This window comes from Homo sapiens, chromosome 6 (assembly GCF_000001405.40).
Source record: "Homo sapiens chromosome 6, GRCh38.p14 Primary Assembly".
Lineage (NCBI taxonomy): Eukaryota > Metazoa > Chordata > Mammalia > Primates > Hominidae > Homo > Homo sapiens.
The window spans coordinates 136,752,524-136,774,249 of record NC_000006.12 but is presented as its reverse complement, the minus strand read 5'-3'; the positions used below and the strand labels follow the sequence as shown (position 1 = coordinate 136,774,249).

The window sequence follows — 21,726 nt, the reverse complement described above, 5'->3', positions numbered from 1 at the left end:
TAATTGTTATACTAGAGGTTTATGTAAGGTTCTTTGAGAGCACAAATCATGGAGGATTCTTCAGGAGGAGAAGGAAGTGTGGAGGAGGTTGGCTAAGACATTGGACAGGAGGTGACATTTGAACTGGGTTTTGAAGGATAATGATGAAAGCTAACATTTATTGAGCACTTAACATGTGCCAGGCATTTTATAATAAATCATGGAAAAAATGAGTCTCTCCATAAGGAAGGGGTAGGATAAAGAGAAGGCCTATGATAGAACTAAGGAAACACTGGCATTTAAAGATGGACGGCGGGGCATGGTGACTCATGCCTGTAATGTAATCCCAGCACTTTGGGAGGCTGAGGCAGGCAGATCACCTGATGTTTGAGACCAGGTGTTTGAGACCAGCCTGGCCAACGTGGAGAAACCCCATCTTTACTAAAAATAGAAAAATTAGCTGGGTGTGGTGGCACCCGCCTGTGGTCCCAGTTACTTGGGAGGCTTAGGCATGAGAATCACTTGAACCCAGGAGGCAGAGGCTGCAGTGAGCTGAGATCGTACCACTGCACTCCAGCCTGGGTGAAACAGCCAGACTCTGTCTCAGAAAACAACCAACGAACCAACCAACAACAACAACAACAAAAAATGGGCAAAGGAAGGCATCATCTAGTGAGAAAGGGAAGATGGTAAGATGGCACAACAGATGAGAGAAAGTTCAGAGAGGGAGAGAGAGAAGGGATTAGCTCTAAAAGCAATGCAAAGAGGGCTTGTCCGAAGGTCAGTGAAGTTGAATGTTTCAGAGAAATAACTGGACTTGGAGATCAGAAAACCCCTGATAACTTTGCCAGAGCAGTTTCAGGAAAGCAGGTGGTGGTAGATGTCAGGTACGGTGACTTGACTGATTTCTGGAGAACAACAGAAGGCATGTAACAGGGAGTGTTATTTAAAGAAATGTGTTCACGAGGAAAGCAGAGAGAAGGCAGTCTCTGGAAGCGGTGCAGGCTACTCCCAAGGTAAGGCACGTGGCCTGGCTGCTGGTATTCATGCCTCAGATGGGATGAGGTCAGTAGGCCTTTGTGGGCTCAGGTGTTATTTAACAGGGTTTCCATGGGAATGTGGAAGGCAAATTCCCAACCACTTTCTTATGAGAATAACTTCTGGAGCATGACCCTTTGTAAATGTACTTGTTTTCTTGCTAATTTTAATTGACTGAAAATAGAGTTGTTTTTCCTTCCGAGAATCTCTTAACTTAGAGAAATTTGAATTCACACTGATACAGCTTAAGTTGAGAATTCTTGACTGGCTTGAACCCAATTTACAGAGGTGTAGGACTTCTTCAGGAAGGGAAAGTGCCCATCTCTCAGGCCAGTTAAGTCTTCCATGCATCTGTCCCCAATGGCCAGATTTCACAGGCTTTTGAAAGCTCAAGAATAGGAACTGGAACCTGAAACGCCTTTCTTGTTTTCTCAACCACTTGAAACACTTAATTGCTCATAATGCTGGCTGCATAACAGTGAACATGATTCATTTTTAAAAATGAGATTTATTTTGCTCAGTTTGCCACCTTACTTTGTAAACTTACAGTGGAAACAGTTAACATTTTTTCAAAACTCGGCTTGATTTTTAGGTTTTCTTCATCTTAAGCTTCCTAACCCCTCCTCAGTGGAGGGCTGCTGTCAGTAGATTACTGAAGTAAACCCTGGATTAACCTGCATTGTCTCACTACTGTATGTGCATTCATTCATTTTCATTGTCTGTTCATTCATTTCAAAAAGAAGCCCCCCGCCACTGCCCCCAACCATCCTTTTCTGAATTATTTTACTGCACATCTTGGAATGAACTCCCTTCTGCCTTATCTGTATACAGAGAGGTGCACAGTATTGACTGCTGTTTCTGATGATATCTTCTACAGGGTCTTCTGTGCCATGCTTACCACAGTAGGGTAGGAAGGAACACATTTGCATAGAAACATTTCATATACTTAATATGCTAGAGAATTACTTTACTAGGGACTAAGGTCTCCCCCCCCCTCAAAATAATGGGAGACCACAGGCTGGGTGTGGTGGCTCACGCCTGTAATCCCAGGACTTTGGGAGGCCGAGGGGCGCAGATCACCTGAGGTTGGGAGTTCGAGACCAGCCTGGCCAACATGGTAAACCCCCCCCCCCCATTTCTACTAAAAAATACAAAAATTAATTGGGCGTGGTGGCACACGCCTGTAGTCCCAGCTAGTTGGGAGGCTGAGGCAGGAGAATCGCTTGAACCTGGGAAGCAGAGGTTGCAGTGAGCCACTGCACTCCAGCCTGAGTGATGGAGCAAGACTGTGTCTCAAAAAATAAAAAAAAAATAAAAAGGGAGACCATTATAAAGCCAAATATTTTGAAAACCTATTTTGAAAATCAGCTCTCAGGTTGGAAACATGGATTTTCAAAAAAGAACATATTTTAAAATATCGGGTTGTTGAGATAGAGCTGCTGCAGGGTAGGCGAGACCCAAAGTGGAGCTTAGCCCATGAGGGTTCTTGGCTTTGCCCAGGAAAGAATTCAAGGGCAAGCCAGAGGTAGAAGAAAACAGCTTTATTGAAGAGGCAGTGTTACAGCTCTGTGACTGCTTCTTCAGAGCACGCCTACCCAGTAGGCAGAGAGTAGTAGCTCAGGGCAGCTTTGCAGTCATATTTATACCTACTTTTAATTGCATGCAGATTAAGGGGTTGTTTTTGCAGAAATTTCTCAGGAAAGGGTAGTAACTTTTGGGTCACTAGGTCATTGCCATGGAAAGGGGTGGTAACTCCCTGGTATTGCTATGGCAACAGTAAATTGACATGGCACACTGGTGGGCATGTCATTTTGTTGTTGACAGCTGCTTCTGCTCTGGCTTTGTTTTAGCTAGTCCTCAATCTGGTCCGGTGTCCAAGCCCCACCTCTGGAGTCAAGTCCTGACTTCTACCTCAGTACAGAGTGCTTTTTGATGACAGCAATAATAATGATAATAATAATAATGAGATTAGTGTAGTAAGTTGTCTGTTTGCAGTAGGGGGAAATCAGCTAGGTTTCATTCCTTTGGTTCATGTGAAATGAAGAAAATGCCTTTTTGAGTATCGGATGACTCCCTAATTCATATTTGTAGCCCAGACCTCAGAGCTGTAGGTTAAGCATCTGCTCTACTCTCCATACCTGCTGGCTGGCCCACAGGAGCCTCAAACGTACTTTCATACAGAAATTGGTTTCCATGTCTAGTTCCTAACATCACATTAAATGACATCTAGTGTTTAAAACCAGAAATGTGCTTTAGATTCCTTTAATATAATAAGGAGTTGTATACATATTAAGAATATTATCCCTTTGTTTTTAAAAATTTATTATATTTTTCCTCAGTTTTATGTTTATGATAATTTTTGTGTGAATTCCTGACAGATTTTTTAATTAGTCAAAATTATCCCTTTTAAGTGCAGATTCTTGCTTCATACATATATCCGAGAAGTATTCATTTGTGTTTTATTTCATTATTTTGAGAGACAAAGTCTTGCTGTGTTGCCCAGGCTGGAGTACAGTGGTGCCTTCATAGCTCACTGCGGCCTCGAATTTCTGGGCTCAGGCAATCCTTCTGCCTCAACCTTCCAAAGTACTGGGATTACAGGCGTGAGCCACTGCATCTGGCCTATATTTTATTCTATAAAGTTTAATATATTTTATTTTTACACTTGACTCTTACCTCCATTTTGAATTTATTTTGTTGTATGATATAGGAAAAGTAATACGTCTGTATTGAAATGTACTATGATTGATGAGAAGAAACAATTTTTGGGCTAAGTGAAATTTATAAACTTAACATTTCTTTAAATAACACATAGTATTTGGTCATGGCATGGTCTGAAATATATCAGTTATTTGTATGAAAAATCTTTTCCCTTGCTTTTAAGGATTATACTGAAGATAATTTAACCTTTTCTACTTTGCCCAGAATTGCTATTATAAACAGTGCACTGTTCTGTATGTATTGTATTATACTGTAATATAATTTGTGAAAGGGGCTTAGAGTTCCCTTTTACCATATGCCTCAGTCCATCCATTAGGGGAGAGATGCCCCAACATGGTCTCAAAAAAATAAACATGGTCTCTGTCTCAAAAAATAAAAATAAATAAAAATAAAAAGGGAGGCCATTATAAAGCCAAATATTTTGAAACCTATTTTGAACATGGTCTCCCCTTCCATTGCAGGAAGAGGCAAACTGAGTAGCAGTCTTTTAGTCACTGTTAGTGTAGCATAGGACTTACTGATGTATATAGTAGCTGTCTATTTTAAACTTCACCTTTTCCTTCCTTCCTCCCACTGTCTCTTTTTCTCTTCCTCCTTCCCTCCCTCCCTTTCTCCTTCCTTTCCCTTCCCTTCTCTCCACTTCCACTTCCCCTTCCCCTCCCTCCCTCCCTCCCTCCCTTCCCTCCCTCCCTCCCGTCCCCTCCCTCCCTCCCTCCCTTCCTTCCTTCCTTCCTTCCTTCCTTCCTTCCTTCCTTCCTTCCTTCCTTCCTTCCCTTCCTCCCTTCCTTCAGTGCACATTGGTTGGGTCAGCCTTGTGTGCCAGTGCCAGACGTTAGGGATAAAAAGTGAATGTGATATGGAGCCTGCCCATTGAATACTCAGTGCTGGTGGGCTTCCCTCTTCCCTCTCCTATTTGTTTTTCTGTTTACTGTTACCCCTAACCCACTTCTGTATACTTCTCTCTTCTATTTTTAAATTTATTTTAAAAATTGAGAGATAACTTATAGACCATAAAAGTAACCATTTTAAAGTACTGTGTACAATTTGGTGGTTTTCAGTAGACTCATAAAGTGTGCAACCATCACCAATATCTAATTCCAAAACATTTTTGGCACCTCAAAAATAAACCCTGTACCAATTTGCTGTTGCTCCCCATATCTCCCTTCACCCAGCCTTTGGCAACCACTAATCTGCTGTCTCCGTAAATTTGCCTATTCTAGGTATTTCTTAGAAGTGGAATCATACAATATGTGGCATTTTGTGACTGGCTTCTTTCACTTAGCATAATGCTTTCGTGCTTCATCCATGTTGTAGCAGGGATCTGTACTTCATTCACTTTTCTGGCTGAATACTATCCTGTTGTATGGTGCTTGAACACCTTTTGTTTATCCATTCATCAGCTGATGGACCTTTGGATTGTTTCCACTTTTTGACTGTCATGAATAAACCATGAATATCCATGTCAAGTTTTTGGGTGGACATGATTTCAGCTTGCTTAAGTATATATCTAGGAGTGGAATTGCTGGGTCATACGGTAATTCAATGCTGAACTTTTTGAGGAATCACCAAGCCATTTTCTTTCTTTTTTTTTTTTTGACATGGAGTTTCACTGTGTCTGTCACCCAGGCTGGAGTGCAGTGGCACGATCTTGGCTCACTGCAACCTCCGTCTCCTGGGTTCAAGCGATTCTCCTGCTTTAGCCTCCCAAGTAGCTGGGATTACAGGCACCTGCCACCATGCCTGGCTACTTTTGAATTTTTAGGAGAGATGGGGTTTCAGCAAGTTGTCTAAGCTGGTCTCGAACCCCTGACCTCAAGTGATACACCCACCTTGGCCTCCCAAAGTGCTGGGATTACAGGCGTGAGCCACCATGCCTGGCCACCAAGCCATTTTCTAAAGTGGCTGTACCATTTTGTCGTACCAACAATGAATGAAGGTTCCAGTTTCTCAACATCTTCACCAGTGCTTGTTATTATCTTGTCTTTTATTAAGCCATCCTAGTGGATGTGAAGTGGTACCTTACTGTGGTTTTGATTTGCATTTACCTAATGACTAATGGTGTTGACCTCTGTTCATGTGTTTGTTGGCCATTTGTATATCTTTGGAGAACTGTCCGTTCAGATTCTTTGCTTATTTTTAAATTGGTCATTTTATTCCTGAGTTGTAATAGTCTGTATCTATTCTGGATACAAGCCCCTTATCAAATATATGATTTGCAAATATTTTCTATCATCTTGTGGGTTGTTTTTCATTTTCTTGATAATGTCTTTTGAAGCACAAAATGTTTTAATTTGGATGAAGTCCGTATTTATCTGTTTTTTCTTTTGTTGTTTGTGCTTTCGTTGTCTTACGTAAGAAAGCATTGCCCAATTCAATGTCACAGAGATTTACACCTATGTTTTCTTCTAAGAGTTAGATATTTTTGCTCTTACAGTTAGGTCATTGCTCCATTTTGAGTTAATTTTTATCTATCATGTGAGTTAGGGGGCCAGCTTCATTCTTTTGCATGTGGATATCTAATTGTCCCAGCATCATTTGTTGAAAACACCATTCTTTTGCCATTGGATTTTCTTAGCGCCATTGGATTTTCGTATCACCCTTGTAAAAAATCAATTGACCATAAATGTGTGAGTTTATTCCCATAGTCTCCATTTGATTTCCATTGATCTATGTTTTTGTCCTTATGCCAGTACCACATAGTCTTGATTACTTTTGCTTTGTAAAAAGTTGTGAAATCAGGAAGTGTGAGGCCTCCAGCTTTCTTCTTTTTCAAGACTGTTTAGGCTATTTTGGTTACCTTGTATTTCCATATGAATTTTAGGCTTGTTAATTTCTGCAAAAAAGGCAGTTAGATCTTCCTCCTATTTTTAACTGTCCCCGATATTCTTTCTTTTGTCATGACATTTTTTTTTCCTTTTTGTTTCATTTACATTTCTTGATTTTCATGACAGCTGGACTCAAGTTTTGCTTCTTACCTAGTGACTACTGAACTGATCAGTGAATTGTAGATTGCAGTTTTCAGGTTTTCAGGGTTTTGGGATTTATTGTCATTTATCACAGCCCAGCGGTGGGTGGTTTTCCCTCCCTGCCCTCCTCTCTTCCTTCCTCCTTCCTCACCCCTCCCTTCCTTTAGTCCCCTCCCTCCTCCTTCCTCCCTTCTTTCTCCTTCCTTTCTTTTCTTCCTTCCTTTCTATTCTCTCTCCTTTATTTCTTTGCTCCTTCCCTCCTTTATGTTGTCTTCCTTCCCTCTTTCCCGTGGGTTTAGTGCTTATGAATTATGGGTGTTAGTAGACTCTGGCTTTGAAATAAATGAGAATCACCACTTACCTTATCTACCTCTTACCTAAAACTTAAATATTTCAGTGTGGAAAGTCAGAATATTTTTTGAAAGATTTATTATAGAGATAAACTTGTCCTTTGTGATTTAGTTTCTTATGCAAATATATATACATATATGAAATAGAACTTTAGAGGTCATATAATTTATCACCTTATCTAATGCATAAATCTACCAAGTGGCTTTTAAATGTGCTTTTACTATGTTTCTATATTGCCTTGTAAATTTGATAGTGGAAATCTAATGAAACTTCCTAATTTTTGTTAGGATACTGTGTAAAGACTCTGATTTTTGTAAGAAAAAAACTTATAAAAATTAATTTTCCTGTAATATGCTTACTAGTTCATGCTCTTTCTGGAAGTAATTCCTATCTGTGAATATATCCAGGGTGCATAGTTTAGCATCCTGTGTTTTGCAGAGTACATTTTAGCATTAAGATACAAGATGAAGAAATGGAGTTTATTATAGATTTAAATTGGTTTTATGTTGATCTGATATGAAACCTTCTCTGAAATGTTACCTTAAATTTGGAGATCACACTGACATGCTCTTTGCTGTGTAAATCCTTTAATGACCTCTGTTCCCAACCGCAAATTCTGACTTGTTCAGTTTTGTTGAGCCAGATGTCCTTGTACTCAGTACCCTAAAACCCAGTTGTTGGCTGGTATGTCTGGTAATGAAGGGAAGACGTCAGAACTTCAGATAACCTACCCTTCTATTCATGACCCTGAATGAATTCAGATAAAGCAGATATGAATTTGTAGAACTGGCAGGGGCCACAGCCTTGACCTACTTGGCTGTGGGATCAGTGGTGCCCAGCTATTCTGGTTTTTAAATTATGAAGTGTTTCCAGAGGTCATCCTTGTAGGCATTTCTTTACGGAGTTATTGCTTGGCCTTGTTCTGAAAGATAAACTAGAGCTGCAATTCAGAAGTTTATTCCATAGAACAGTTGGTGCAGATTTGTAGGCTTAGTGTTTATACACTCAGTCTCCAACTTCTCCCCAGGGTGGGAAGTGGAAGTTGGCTTGGGTTCTGGCTTTACCTGCAGCTTCCATGGTTTTATGCTGTACCAGATAGATTCTTGCACACCTCATGACCTGTGGTGCAGCTGGGATGGCTCTTTGGGAGTTGGGACAATTTCTTGGAATATGTATAATCCAAGCAAGTCCACAAATTATGTTCCTAGTGCAGGAATGGAAACTGTATATTTTATGACAAAATTTAGACTGTGGATCTGGGAGACCTGTGGTGTTTAATCTTGGCTCTGCCACTTACTATTTCTGTGTTCTTGCTTCTCTAAGCCTTAGTTTTCTCATCTATAAGGTGGAGATAAAAGCAGTTACTGCCGGGCAAAGTGGCTCACACCTGTAATCCCAGCACTTTGGGAGGTGGAGGCGGGCAGATCACCTGAGGTCAGGAGTTCGAGACCAGCCTGGTCAACATGGTGAAACCCTGTCTCTACTAAAAATACAAAAAAAAAAAAAAAAAAAAAATTAGCCAGGCATGGTGGTGGGCACTTGTAATCCCAGCTACTTGGGAGGCTGAGGCAGGAGATTTGCTTGAACCCAAGAGGTGGAGGTTGCAGTGAGCCGAGATGGCGCCACTGTATTCCAGCCTGGGCGACAGAGCGAGACTCTGTCTCAAAAAAATAAAAAAATAAAAAAAGATAAAAATAAACAAATAAAAAATAAATACATAAATAAGTTAAATTAGCTGCTCACGGTGGTGTTTGCCTGTAGTTCCAGTTACTCAGGAGGTGGAGGTGGGAGGATGTCCTGAGTGTAGGAGTTTGAGGTTAAAGTGAGCTGTGTTTGCACACTGCATACCAAGCAGGGTAACAGAGTAAGACCCCAAAGACCTCTAAAGAAAACAGTTTCTGCTTTATAAGTATAGGCTTATTGAGAAAGTTAAATGAGATCATGCACGTAAGGAATTATGCACAGCGCTTGGCAGGTCATAGATTGCTGGAAGAAAAAGGACTTCAGAGTTTGTATAACCCATCATCTTATCTGATGCATGAATCTACCAAGAGGCTTTTAGATGTGCTTTTATTATGTTTCTGTACTGTCTTATACATTTGATTGGGGGAATCTAATGATGACTTCCTAATTTTTGTTAGGATACTGTATAAAAAGTTCTCCATTGCCGCACATTGGTGGCTACATGATAGAAGAGCATGATCCTGAAAACACACATGGTAATACTGATCCCCAAAGCAGATACATGTTCAGAGAGCTGAGAATTGACCCCGCAGAGTCACTTGTCCCAGCTTCTGAGATGCAGTGAGACAAACACATCAATTAGGGCCAGGAAGTGTGCCTTGAGTTTCAGTTCTGCCTCTTACATAATCTCTCTGCCATGAGAAAGCTGATGTCTTAGCATAGTTTTGAGCATTAACTGAGAAAATATATATTAAAGAAGCAGGCCTATAGTGGGTGCTTTGCTAAAATTTATATATTCACAGTGTGGACTTGTGATTTTGAGAGGTCTGCGTTTCATTTTTCTGTTGCGGCATAACCACAAAAAAGTGTAGTGGCTTCAAACAACAACCTGTTATTATCTCTCACAATTTAGTGGGTTGAGTGGGTTCAGCTGTGTGACTCTTCTGTTTCACATAAACTTGGTTGGGTCTGAAGCCATCTGGGGGTTTGACAAAGCTGGAACATCCAATAAGGTTCATTCCCATGACTGGAAGGTGGTGTGGGCTGTTGGGCCTCAGTTCTTTTCCATGTGGCCTCTCCACATGACCCGGTTGGACTTCTCTCATGGTATCTGTGTTCTGAGAGGGAGCATTCTATGAGTGAATGTTCCAAGAAGAAGGACATGGAAGCTATCAGTCTGTTAGGTTTTGATCTCGAAATTCTCAGAACATTATTTTTGTCTGCATCCTATTGGTAAAAGCAGTTACAGCACCAACTCAGTCTCAAGGGAAGGGGGGTAACTGAATGGGAGAAGGGGCATATGCATGCACAGGGGTAAGGACTTGATGGGGGCCATCTTTGGAAACATCTACCATGGTCTGAACATTCTTGCATATGTCATCTGGGTGTGCACATGTACAGGTGGCTGGCTGATCAGCAGGGCAGTAGCTTAGTCCATTTTCTGTTGCTTAAACAGGATTTCTGAAACTGAGTAATTTATGAGAAATGAAATTTATTTTGTACTGTTCTGGAGGTGGAGAAGTCCAAGGTCAAGGGGGCGCATCTGGTGAGAGCTTCCTTGTTGGTGGGTACTCTCTGCAGAGTCTCAAGGTGGTGCAGAGTATCACATGGCAAGGAGGCTAGCTTAGGTCTCATTTCCTCTTTAGTCACCAGTCCCACTCCTGCGATAACCTGTTAATGGATTAATCCATTCATGAGAGCAGAGCCATCATGACCCAGTCACCTCCTAGAGGCCCCACCTCTCAATACGCCCATATTGGAGATTAAATTTCACCATGACACTTGGAGGGGACAACTGTTCAAACCACAGCAGTAGCTCTGTGCCTGTTTTGCATCCATCAGATAGCCAAGTCATAGAGGGAAACTGAGGCCTTGAGAACAGTCATCAGATTTTGAAAAAGTAGCAATTGAAATTCAAAATAGAAGGTACCTGAATAGATTCAGCAAGAATAAGCTTTGCGTGAAAACTTTTTTTTCCCTCTGTAAATTTTCAGTTTCTATAGATAGGGTGGGTAGAAAACACACTGTCAGAATACTGCACCTGAGACTTTTTGCTAACCAGTCAGAAGAGCATATGCTTGTAAACTGACCTGTTTCCCCACATCTTTGGGCATATTGAGATTAAATGGTTGAACAGAGACAAGACAGCTAAAGATCTACCCTGCTGATGTTTGAAGTAGAGAAGGCAATGAACAATCTTGTAAAAATCCTGTTTACTCATCCAAGACTTCATCTTAGATGACTAGTTATGCAGGAAAACAGAGATGGTTACCTTTTAAAAAGATACACCAGGAGTTTGAGACCAGCCTGGGCAACATAGTGATGCCCCGTCTCTACAAAAAAATGAAAAAATTAGCTGGGCATGGTGGCGTGCACCTGTGGTCCCAGCTATTTGAGAGGCTGAGGTGGGAGGACGGCTTGAGCCTGGGAGGTGGAGGTTGCAGTGATCTGTGCCACTGCACTCCAGCCTGGGTGACTGAGTGAGAGCCTGTCTCAAAATAAATGAATAAGTAAATAATATAAAGTAAATAAAAGATACATAATGCTAACATGCATCCGGTATGTATTATTTCATTGCAGCCTTGGAAATAGGCAGCATTTGCCATTTTTATTCTCTAGCTGTGAAGAGGGCAAGGCAATGAAGGGGTGGATTCACAGAGAGTACAAGGGTAGCAATGGTGCTAGAAACCTCCAGGAGACTGGGAGGAGGAAGGGGGAGAGGACTTTCCCCAGGGGCAATGCAGACATTGGCATGTGGTTTGTGGACTGCTTTAATTCACCTGCAACCTGCCTGTCCCTAGAGGAGCTTGCAGCAAGCATTATAGTTTCCAGATAAAGACAGAGGACAGGAAGTGTACTTTCCCTGGTATAATTTCCCTCGGTGCTTTACCCTGTTTAATTCCACTTGGCTTTAGAAACTCAACTAGGAGTTTATTTTTCTTTTTATACTTTTCTTGAACTAAGCTCTCTTCCCCCCTTACCCTCACACACTCACTGTCTTATTTCTGATGCTGCCCATTGCTGAACCAGTTGAGGCACATGAGCCACCCTCTCTCCCTAATCTTTGTCCATGGAACACCTGAGGGTCATGTGCAAGCATGGGCAGACAGCTCTTGGCTGTGTATCCTATCAAATGTACTGTCTATATTTGGAAAAAGCATGGATTCCTCTACTTGGTGAACAAAACATTTACAGCTTTAACCGTACAAAGTCAGGAGCTCTGTTTTCTGTGTGCTCATTCCCATACCCTCTCCCTTCCCATTTACCTCTCTGTCTCTTCTCTTCTCTTCTCTTTCTTCCCATTTTTCCCTGGCTGGGCATCAGGATAGACTTCCCTTTCTTATTTTTGTCACTTACTCCAGACTGACAGTGTTGTTCTCTGCTAAAATTAGAAACAAAAAATATTTGCATAACTTTCTGTAGGGTCATGGATTTTAAATTTTAAAAGGCTGCAGAGTTCATTTCAAGATTATGTTGTTTCCTTTTTCTAATATTTGGTTGGTGAACAGACGCTCTACTCATTTTAATTTTCGGCAGGATTGCTGTCTGGTTAGGAGAATGCCCAGTCCTCCCCAAATGCGTTATATCTGCCTCAAACTTTTGACCTTTTCTGGTCTCAAGTGGGCCATTCAGTGGCTTTCCCTTCTTCCCTTCCTTCTCCATCGCTTCTCTGTGCTGTCGGAGTAGTTACTATGAAATTATCTTCTGATCAGTGCAGTTTCCTGCTTAGAGTTCACTGGGCTCCTGACCAGCTGTGGGAGGAAACTAAATTTGCTAGCACAGCAGCAAAGCCTTTTGAGGTTTGGCATCCATCTGCCTCATCGCAGCCCCTCTCACAAGGCCCCCTTTCTGTGACCAGCCCCAGCCGCAGGGTTGCCGGTCTTTTCTCTAATAAAGAGGTTGGGATCTCCTCACCCTGGTGCACATCTGTCCTTCTGTGCTTATTTTCCCATTTTCCCCTTTCAAGTTCTGTAGTTTTATTGTGTTGACAGTTGCTGGAACCACTGATTTGGGATGCGAGAACAATTCCCCCAGGCTCCTGGCTTCTTCCCAGGCTGCGTGGCATCCTGCAGGACAGCTCTGAGAACCTTCTGTCCTCCACACAGCCCTGCCCAGACACCTGGGATCTACTCTTCTGTCTTCCCACAGTGCCTGCTGCATGCACTCTTGCATTTTAGTGGCCAGCCTCCTGGCTGACTGTTCGTTTTTTTTTTTTTTTTTTTAAAGTTAGGGTCTATTTTCTTTATTCTTGTGCCCGTAGTGCTCACATGTAATAGGTGCTCTACAAGTATTTGTCCTATTCAGTTCTGGCTGCCATAATCTCCCATAAGCGAGGTGGCATATAAACATCAGCAATGTATTTTCTCACAGTTGTGGAAGCTAGAAGGTGCATGATCAAGGCACCAGCAGATTCAGTGTTTGTGAGGGCCCACTTCCTCATAAATAGCTGTCTTTTCTCTGTTATCGCATGGGGCAAAAAAGGAGAGGGATCTCTCCTCTCTGGAGCTTCTCTCTGGTTTTTTGTTTTGTTTCGTTTTGTTTTGAGACAGAGTCTTGCTCTGTCACCCAGGCTGGAGTGCAGTGGTGCAATCTCAGCTCACTGCAACATCTGCCTCCCAGCTCAAGCCATTCTCATGCCTCAGCCTCTCGAGTAGCTGGGATTACAGGCCTGTGCCACCATGCCTGGCTAATTTTTCTATGTTCAGTAGAGACAGGGTTTCGACACATTGACCAGCCTGGTCTGGAACTCCTGACCTCAGATGGTCCACCCACCTCAGCCTCCCAAAGTGCTGGGATTACAGGCGTGAGCCACAGTGCCTGGCCTGGAGTGTTTTATAAGGGCACTAATCCCATTCATGAGGGTTCCACCCTCCTAACCTAATCACTTCCCAAAGCCCTCACCTCGTAATATTATCACCTTGGGGGGTGAGGATTTCAACATATGGATTTTAGGGAACACAAAAATGAGACCTTAGTAGTATTTATTGAATCAATAAATTAACAAATAATACCATTAATTACATTCACTGAATATATGTGAATTAAGGACTTGATCATTTTCATAAATAATACCTCATGTAAGAGCTTTATTTAGAAAATCTTTTGCCTTTTCTTTTAGTTGTTATGGCCCAAAGAGAGAGCTAATTAATATATAAGATGGCATGTGCCTTGAGATTTATGATAGGATTTACTAGTACTAAATGGCCTTATGTTTGTTGTTTCTATAAGGAAAAAAAATTGTAGACTGGTGACAATTATATATATAACTGACTGCTGACTAGTCTTTACTATTTAAGCATGAGACAGCATGTTTATGCCACCTTATTGCAATTGGACTATCCTAATTGAAGAAATTAAAAAATACTCTATCACTCTCCACAAGATGACAGAGGACAAATCAACAAATTGAATAGTGCAATGTGCATTCTGTCCTGCTTTCTTTGATGTCTGTAAGAACAGGATTCAAAAATTATTTTCATTTCTCTCTTAAACTAATATGGATATTTACCATGATAATATTAGATAGAACCTATTCTTTGAAAATAGAGGGCTGGGTCCCTTGAGAATGCACTTTGTGAGATCCACCCACTGCCCCCAAAACATTGCTCTTAACTCCACCGCCTATCCCAAAACCTATAAGAACTAATGATAATCCCACCACCCTTGCTGACTCTTTTTTCAGACTCAGCCCACCTGCACCCAGGTGAAATAAACAGCCATGTTGCTCCAAAAAAAAAAAAAAAAAAAAATAGAGGGCTGGGTGCGGTAGCTCACACCTATAATCCTGAGGTGAGCAGATCGCTTGAGCCCAGGAGTTTGGGATGAGCCTGGGCAATATGGCAAAAACCTCGTTTCTACAAAAAATAGAAAAAATTAGCTGGATGTGGTGGTGTATGCCTGTAGTCCCAGCTATTCAGGAGGCTGAGGTGGGAGGATCGCTCGAGCCTAGGATGTAGAGGTTGCAGTGAGCTGTGATTGTGCCACTACACTCCAGCCTGGGTGACAGAGTGATACTCTGTCTCAAACTTTATATATATATATATATATATATATATAGTTTTAGTATAAAGGTTATTTTAGGAAGCTTTCTTCTTTGAAGATTTTCTCAGGATCATATTATTCTTAGGTTACAATGTGGGTTTTTGTTACTGACTTTTGCCTTTTTATCTTTATAGGAACATGGTACATTCATGAATCAACTTCTTGTTCGTCTTTGCCTGTATTGTTCAGCCTATGTTCAGGCACATAATACTTAGTCAATAAATATTTTTTGAATGAATAAGTAAGGCTATATAGAGTAACATTTTACTTTCAAAAGTCTATTCTTTTATTTTATTTTTTTTAGACAATCTCACTCTGTTGCCCAGACTGGAGTACAGTGGCGTAATCTTGGCTCACTGCAACCTTCACCTCCCAGGTTCAAGTGATTCTTGTGCCTCAGCCTCCTGAGTAGGGATTACAGGTGCCTGCCACCACACCTGGCTACTTTTTTGTATTTTTGATAGAAACAGAGCTTCACCATGTTGGCCAGGCTGGTCGCAAACTTCTGGCCTCAAGTGATCTGCCTGCCTCGGCCTCCCAAAGGGCTGGGATTACAGGCGTGAGCCGCCATGCCTGGCCAAAAGTCTATATTTAATACAGGTTTGACTCATAGAAACATAGGCAGAAACAGGATTCCTACTGTGAATGTAAGATGTGCAAAAACTCAAAATACATTTTTATTTTCTTGGATAGACTAACAGTTTTAATCAAGGCAGAATACACTGATACCTAATAATTGATTCCTTGTAAATTATTAAAGTATAAACAGAGTCTTCACTTATGAATTTGTCATTTGCTTCCTGCTAGTCTCTTTTATTGATTTTTCTAATCCATAGGTAAAGGAGGGGTAAAGAGGATTTGCTTCTGAAGTCTAAGAATCTAGATCTGGATTGACTGCCCACACTGCAAAAATGATTTGGCATGCCACTTGAAAGTGGTTGAGGGGGTGGGCAAGGCCCATGGCTTTTTTAAAAAAATGGGAAACGAAAGATATATTTATGAATTTGAAGTCCTGGAAGAATGTCTCTTGAGAGGTATAAATGCAGTGTAAATTCAGAGACTGTTGTCATTTTCGTTCAGTTTTCATCATATGTAAAGTTATGAGACTAAAAATTCTATCATGGGAACATCTTAAAGGATAAAAATTAGTCAAAATAATAAAAATGAAAAACTGCAAGGCTTTGTTATGTAATTTTTTTTAGTGCTCTAAAATATTATATAAGAACAAATTTGCAGGGCAAAGAAGATTACTTTTAAAAGGCATGAAGATTGTTGAACCTTAAATTTTAGTATGACATGATGACATTGATCTGCAGTGTATCTAAGAGAAAGTAAAATCAAAATAGCATTTGTTCCTAAATTACCAAAGTGCCTAATGTACTCTCAATATTTTAGCAAAAGTTGTGCATTGGGTGCTGGTATTAAAATAAGTTTTAATTATTTACAGAAAGGCTATTTAGTTCTAATACTTTTATATAACTCTCCTATTACCACTTTGCCACTTTAAATGGTTTTATTTTTGTGTTCCCTAAAATATATTCAGATATTTCAGTTATGAAAAGAAGCCTCTAAGATCTATAAAATGAGGCTGGGCACAGTGGCTCATGCCTGGAATCCAGCATTTTGGGAGGCCGAGGCAGGTGGATCATCTGAGATCAGGAGTTCCAGACCAGCCTGACCAACAAGGTGAAACCCCATCTCTACTAAAAACAAAAAATAGCTGGGTGTGGTGGCGCATGCCTGTAATCCCAGCTACTTGTGAGGCTGAGGTAGGAGAATCGCTTGAACCAGGAGGTGGAGGTTGCAGTGAGCCAAGATTGCGCTACTGCACTCCAGCCTGGGCAGCAAGAGCGAAACTCCGTCTCAAAAAAAAAAAAAAAAAATAAAAAATAAATAAATAAATCTATAAAATGAGTTCTCTGATTAATGTCTGTTGATCTTCTCATATTTCCAATTGGTAAACACAGTAATAGAAAGGAATCTTGCTAATTATTATGAACATTATTTACAAATCTGTGATGCTATCTGACTAGACAGACAGCTCATAAATTCTTGCTTCCCAACACAGAAACATCTCCCTTGAGCTTATTTCTCCAAAGACCCAGCCCTGACTCTCTTACTTCCTGTAAACTGTGTTGAAACTGAGATGCTGTTATAGTTGTATTTGGCTGGGTTGCTAAGGAATACCACAATCTTTCCCTGGAACTTATTTTCTTGAAAAGTCCTAGAGGTAGGTATGTAGTCAGAAAATAAACCAAGGCAAAGCATCTCTTGATTATTGCACGTGGCTCTTGCCCCACGTCCCAGCATAAAACTCTGGTGAGCCAGGCTGGAACCCTACGACACCTTCCCTGGGCTAGATGACTTGAATGGTCTAGAACCAAAGCAGGCCAAAGTCTTCCTATCGATTTCTACTGCAGCACTGAAACCTGAGTTTTCTCGGGTGTTCACCTTGATTTGCTGGAAAACCATAGAGATACTGGAAAGCCAAAATGAGCTTTGCTTCTGAGCTTCGTGTGGTTCTGAAGAGAAAGCCTATGCACACTTGAGAAAGTGTCTCTTGGAGTCTTGGGGTCAGTCTTCCTAATGAGATGGAAGAGGAAAAGGAGACCTTATCCACATGCACCGGGCCATCAGCCCCTCAGTGCTGACAATGCTCTGATAATCTAGAAAAAGTGACTCATGTTACTCACCTAAGCCTTGCAAGTGTCTCTCTCCCATCAGTTTGTGGAAACTGTCTTGTGATGAATCGGCAGGGCCTTTAAGCATCCAATAGTATGACCTTCAGGCTTAATTTTCCTTGACAGGAGGGTAAAGGGGCTGACCACTCCTTTTCTCTTGAAGAATTGTTCTTTCATTATTTAGGACACTTATGATAAAGAGATGAGTACAACACAGGCAATACCCTTCCGGGAGGCGGAGGTTGCAGGGAGGCGGAGGTTGCAGTGAGCCGAGATTGCGCCACTGCACTCCAGCCTGGGCGACAGTGAGAGAGACTGTCTCAACAACAACAGCAACAAAAAGGCAATACCCTTAAGGAGCTTCTAGTCTAGTTGGAAAGACATATTCAGAGAGATCATTTCATTGCACTCTGACTTAGCTGTATAGCATCCATGCCCAGCTCAATGAAAGTGACCTGCATTTTGTTTTTTTGAGACAGGTCTGGCTCTGTCATGCAGTTTGGAGTGCAGAGGTACCATCTCAGCTCACTGCAACGTCTGCCTACCAGGCTTAAGTGATCCTCTCACCTCAGTCTCTCCAGTAGCTAGGACTACAGGCATGCACCACCATGCCTGGCTTATTTTTGTAGTGTTTTTTTTTTTTCTGTAGAGGCGGGGTTTTGCCATGTTGCCTAGGCTCGTCTTGAACTCCTGGGCTCAAGCGATCTGCCCATTTTGGCCTCCCAAAGTGTGACAGTGACTTTCAAGTACATATTTCTAGCCCATTCTTCTCTCCTTAGCTCCATTTCTACTTTTCCATCAATCTGCTGAACATATTTTTCAACTTCCAATTTTAATGTCATAATTTTTTCCTTTTAACTTACACCCCTTTGCTTACCAGTGATAGTGTTTTCTCTCTAGTCACCCTGACTAGAAACCTCAGTGTCATCTTTGACTCCTTGCTTCTTATTCATCTGTTCATCTAATGAGTGCCTTCTGTATACAAGATACTATTCTAGCCTGTATGGTTACGGTTAGCCTGGAGCAGAGGGCACTTGTCTAGGGAAATTGTCATTAAAAAGTAGCTTTTCAACTTTAACTTTTTTTTTTTTTTTTTTTTGGAGACAGAGTCTTGCTCTGTCACCCAGGCTGGAGTGTGGTAGCAAGATCATGGCTCACTGCAGCCTTGACCTCCCAGGCTCTTAGCTGTGACCACAGGCGTGTGCCACCATGCCCAGCTAATTATTTCATTTTATTATATTTTTTGAAGAGTCGGAGTCTCACTATGTTGCCCAGGCTGATCTTGAACTCCTGGGCTCAGGCGGTCCTCCTGCCTGGGCCTCCCAAAGTGCTAGGACTACAGGCATGAGCCACTGCACCATGGCTGCTTTCCAGCTATTGAATTACAAATTATGTGCTCAAAGGGAAGTTTAGAGGGCTGGGAGAGGAGACCCTGTGTCTGAGGGCCTAGGTGAAGAGTGAGGAGCATTTCTTGGGGTGGCGGAAACAGGGAAGAGCTGAGTTGTGCATGAGGATCTAGGAGGAAGCCAGGGAGCAGAGAGGAGCTGGATGCGGCTGGAGAGGGAGGCAGGAACACAGCTAAGCAGGGCATTAGAGACTAAAGTGAAGGGTTTTCAGCCTCTTTCTGAGCCATTAAAGGTTTTTTTTTCATGTAAGAGAATGCCATTATCAGCTTAGCATTTTTAAAAAGATCAACATGAATTTTGTGTTGCGAATGGAGTGGAGTTGCATGCGTTAGGAGACCAGATGGGCCATATAGATAGAGAGGAGTAAATGGACTCAGCAGGAAGTAGAATTGATGGGACTTCATGATTCAGTGGATTGAGGAGGAGACGACAACCTCATATTTCTGGAATGGGCAACTGCGTGAATAGAATAATGGTTTCCCCAACATCTGAAGCATCGAGATCTTGTCAGTGGACCCCAGGAACGTGCCTCAGCCCCGTTTCCTCTGTTCCATCTGCACTGACATCATTCTTCCCTAGGCTGCCGAGGACCTCCATTGAGGCATCCTCTGCAGATTTGCTCCTCTCTAGTCCAGCATGTGGGTGTCCTGTTCTTCCCGAAGCATTCTTCTGGACATCTTACTGTGCCCATGCAAAACCTTTGATCAATCTCCCTTTTCTGCAGATTAAGCATAGGGTGGGGGAGCCCTATAATCCACCTTCAAACAGGATTTTCTTTTCTTTCTTTCTTTTTTTTTTTTGAGAGCGGTCTCTCTCTGTTGCCCAGGCTGGAGTGCAGTGGTGCATGCCATCATCACTTGCTGCAGGCCTCGACCTCCCCAGCTCAAGTGTTCCACCCGCCTCAGCCTTCCGAGTAGCTAGGACTATAGACATGTGCCACCACATCTGGCAAATTTCTTGTATTTTCAGTAGAAACAGGGTTTCACCATGTTGCCCAGGCTGGTGTTGAATTCCTGGGGTCAAGCAGTTCCCCCATGTCAGCTTCCCAAAGTGCTGGATTACAGGTGTGAGCCACTGCACCCAGCCTGGGATTTTCTTTTCTTTTTTTTTTTTATCGAGTCTTGCTCTGTCTCCCAGGCTGGGGAGCAGTGGCACAATCTTGGCTCACTGCAACGTCTGCCTCCCAGGTTCAAGTGATTCTCCTGCCTTAGCCTCCTGAATAGCTGGGATTACAGGCGCCCGCCACCAGGCCCAGGTAATTTTTGTATTTTTAGTAGAGATGGGGTTTCATCATGCTGCCCAGACTGGTGTTGAACTCCTGGACTCAAGCGATTCTCTGTGTCAGCCTCCCAAAGTGCTGGATTACAGGCGTGAGCCACTGCACCCAGCCTCGGATTTTCTAGTACTCCTCTTCCACCAAACTGAACTTGCTGCTTCTCACTAGCACCTTTCAGTTTCCCGCATCTACCTGAAATGCGCTCGTCACTTCAGCAGGGCTGCGTTCTCCCTTTACTTCAAAGCCCTGCCTGACGCTGCTGTTCTCCTTGTGCTGAAGCACCATCTACCCTCAAGTGCATCCTCTTTGCCTGTCTTGTGGTATTTGGGGCTTTCAGACAGGCCTTAGCATTATTTATGATGATAAGCTACCTGAGGTCTGATTCATCTTTGTATTTCACTCAGACCTAGTACAAATGCCTGAATGAGACATGATGGAATATTTGTGGAGAGTGAATAAGCATTCAGTGGATACTTTTTCACCTGACCCAAGAATAATTAATTTTCAGGTAATTTAGAGTCCATCAATTTAATACCATGCCTTTTTAAAGTATTTTAACAAGATTATCAAAATGCTTTCTGGTCCTTTTAGATTCCGGAAAAAAAAAAATACTATCTGTGGTGATGTTCCCTTGCTGCCACAGAATTTCCCTTTCTATAATTTATAACTTGGCAAGGCCAAGAGAGATTCATGCCCCATCCTTACCATTCTGCATGCTGTACCAAAAAAGGTGTTTTCATCAACACCATGTTGCTGCCTAATGCTAGGTTCGTATACTTTTGTGGTAAAAGAAAGTCGGGAATTCCTGTGTTCACTTGAAAAAAAAGCAGTAAAGGCCTATTATTGTTTTAATGGACTGACAACTCAGATGTATTTAAATACAGTCTTCCCATGTTAAAAACAAAAGTACTTAAAGTGTAGACATTCTTTTTTTATGCATCTGTGGGTCCTAAAGTGTGTGTTAGAAAAATGTCACCCAATAAACAGGCAGATAAATAAATTAATAGTGGGTTCCTGTTGGGATAAGTACCAGGAAGGAAAGAGAAAGTGTTGGAGGGCACAGAGGTAGGCTAGAGCTAGGGATTATAAATTTGGGGGTGGGGCATGTGGGCAAGAACTATGGGGTGGTGGTGTTGGTAACCAGGCCTGAGTGGTGTGAAGGAGCCATGCAGAGATCTGGGATGAGCATGTACCAGGCAGAGGGAGCAGAGTCTGCCTTCTAAAAGCTGACCTTTGCACTTGCAGCCTGACCCCTTTCTCTTTCCCCTCCAGCCATTGTCCCAGCCACGCTGAACTTCTGCCCTTTCACAGCTCTGTGCTTTTGCATAACTGCCTTTATCTGGAGTGCCCTTCATCTTCTTCCTGGAGTAAAGTCACACTCAGAACCCAGCTAAAGGCTGGGCCCAGTGGCTCACACCCATAATCCCAGCACTCTGGGAGGCCGAGGAGGGCGGATCACCTGAGGTCACGGGTTTGAGACCAGCCTGGCCAAAATGGCGAAACCCCATCTCTACTAAAAATACAAAAATGAGCTGGGTGTGGTGGCACGCGCCTGTAATCCCAGCTACTCGGGAGGCTGAAGT

The 21,726-nt window shown here is 42.2% G+C and overlaps 1 protein-coding gene and 1 long non-coding RNA gene across 11 annotated transcripts in view, besides 5 other annotated features; one reads left to right on the top strand and one right to left on the bottom strand.

The window, feature by feature from the left end:
- The window catches only part of MAP3K5 (mitogen-activated protein kinase kinase kinase 5), a 236,046-nt gene that overhangs the window by 18,842 nt on the left and 195,478 nt on the right, over nt 1-21,726 (top strand). The gene's annotated exons all lie outside the window — the stretch shown is intronic.
- Nucleotides 905-1,199: a silencer, noted in NCBI's record as "tiled region #8718; K562 Repressive non-DNase unmatched - State 6:EnhF". NCBI's record gives its function as "represses a minimal TATA promoter and a strong SV40 promoter by Sharpr-MPRA in K562 cells {active_cell/tissue: K562}" and the evidence as "EXISTENCE:reporter gene assay evidence [ECO:0000049][PMID:27701403]".
- Nucleotides 9,471-9,520: an enhancer, noted in NCBI's record as "active region_25121". NCBI's record gives its function as "activates an Ori minimal core promoter by ATAC-STARR-seq in GM12878 lymphoblastoid cells {active_cell/tissue: GM12878}" and the evidence as "EXISTENCE:reporter gene assay evidence [ECO:0000049][PMID:35858748]".
- Nucleotides 10,191-10,300: an enhancer, noted in NCBI's record as "active region_25120". NCBI's record gives its function as "activates an Ori minimal core promoter by ATAC-STARR-seq in GM12878 lymphoblastoid cells {active_cell/tissue: GM12878}" and the evidence as "EXISTENCE:reporter gene assay evidence [ECO:0000049][PMID:35858748]".
- LOC124901410 (uncharacterized) lies at nt 10,211-13,611 on the bottom strand. Its single transcript, XR_007059786.1, has 2 exons — nt 12,005-13,611; nt 10,211-10,409 (listed from the first exon to the last, which is right to left on the bottom strand). It is a non-coding gene; the product is annotated as an uncharacterized LOC124901410 (long non-coding RNA).
- Nucleotides 10,581-10,630: an enhancer, noted in NCBI's record as "active region_25119". NCBI's record gives its function as "activates an Ori minimal core promoter by ATAC-STARR-seq in GM12878 lymphoblastoid cells {active_cell/tissue: GM12878}" and the evidence as "EXISTENCE:reporter gene assay evidence [ECO:0000049][PMID:35858748]".
- Nucleotides 21,281-21,330: an enhancer, noted in NCBI's record as "active region_25118". NCBI's record gives its function as "activates an Ori minimal core promoter by ATAC-STARR-seq in GM12878 lymphoblastoid cells {active_cell/tissue: GM12878}" and the evidence as "EXISTENCE:reporter gene assay evidence [ECO:0000049][PMID:35858748]".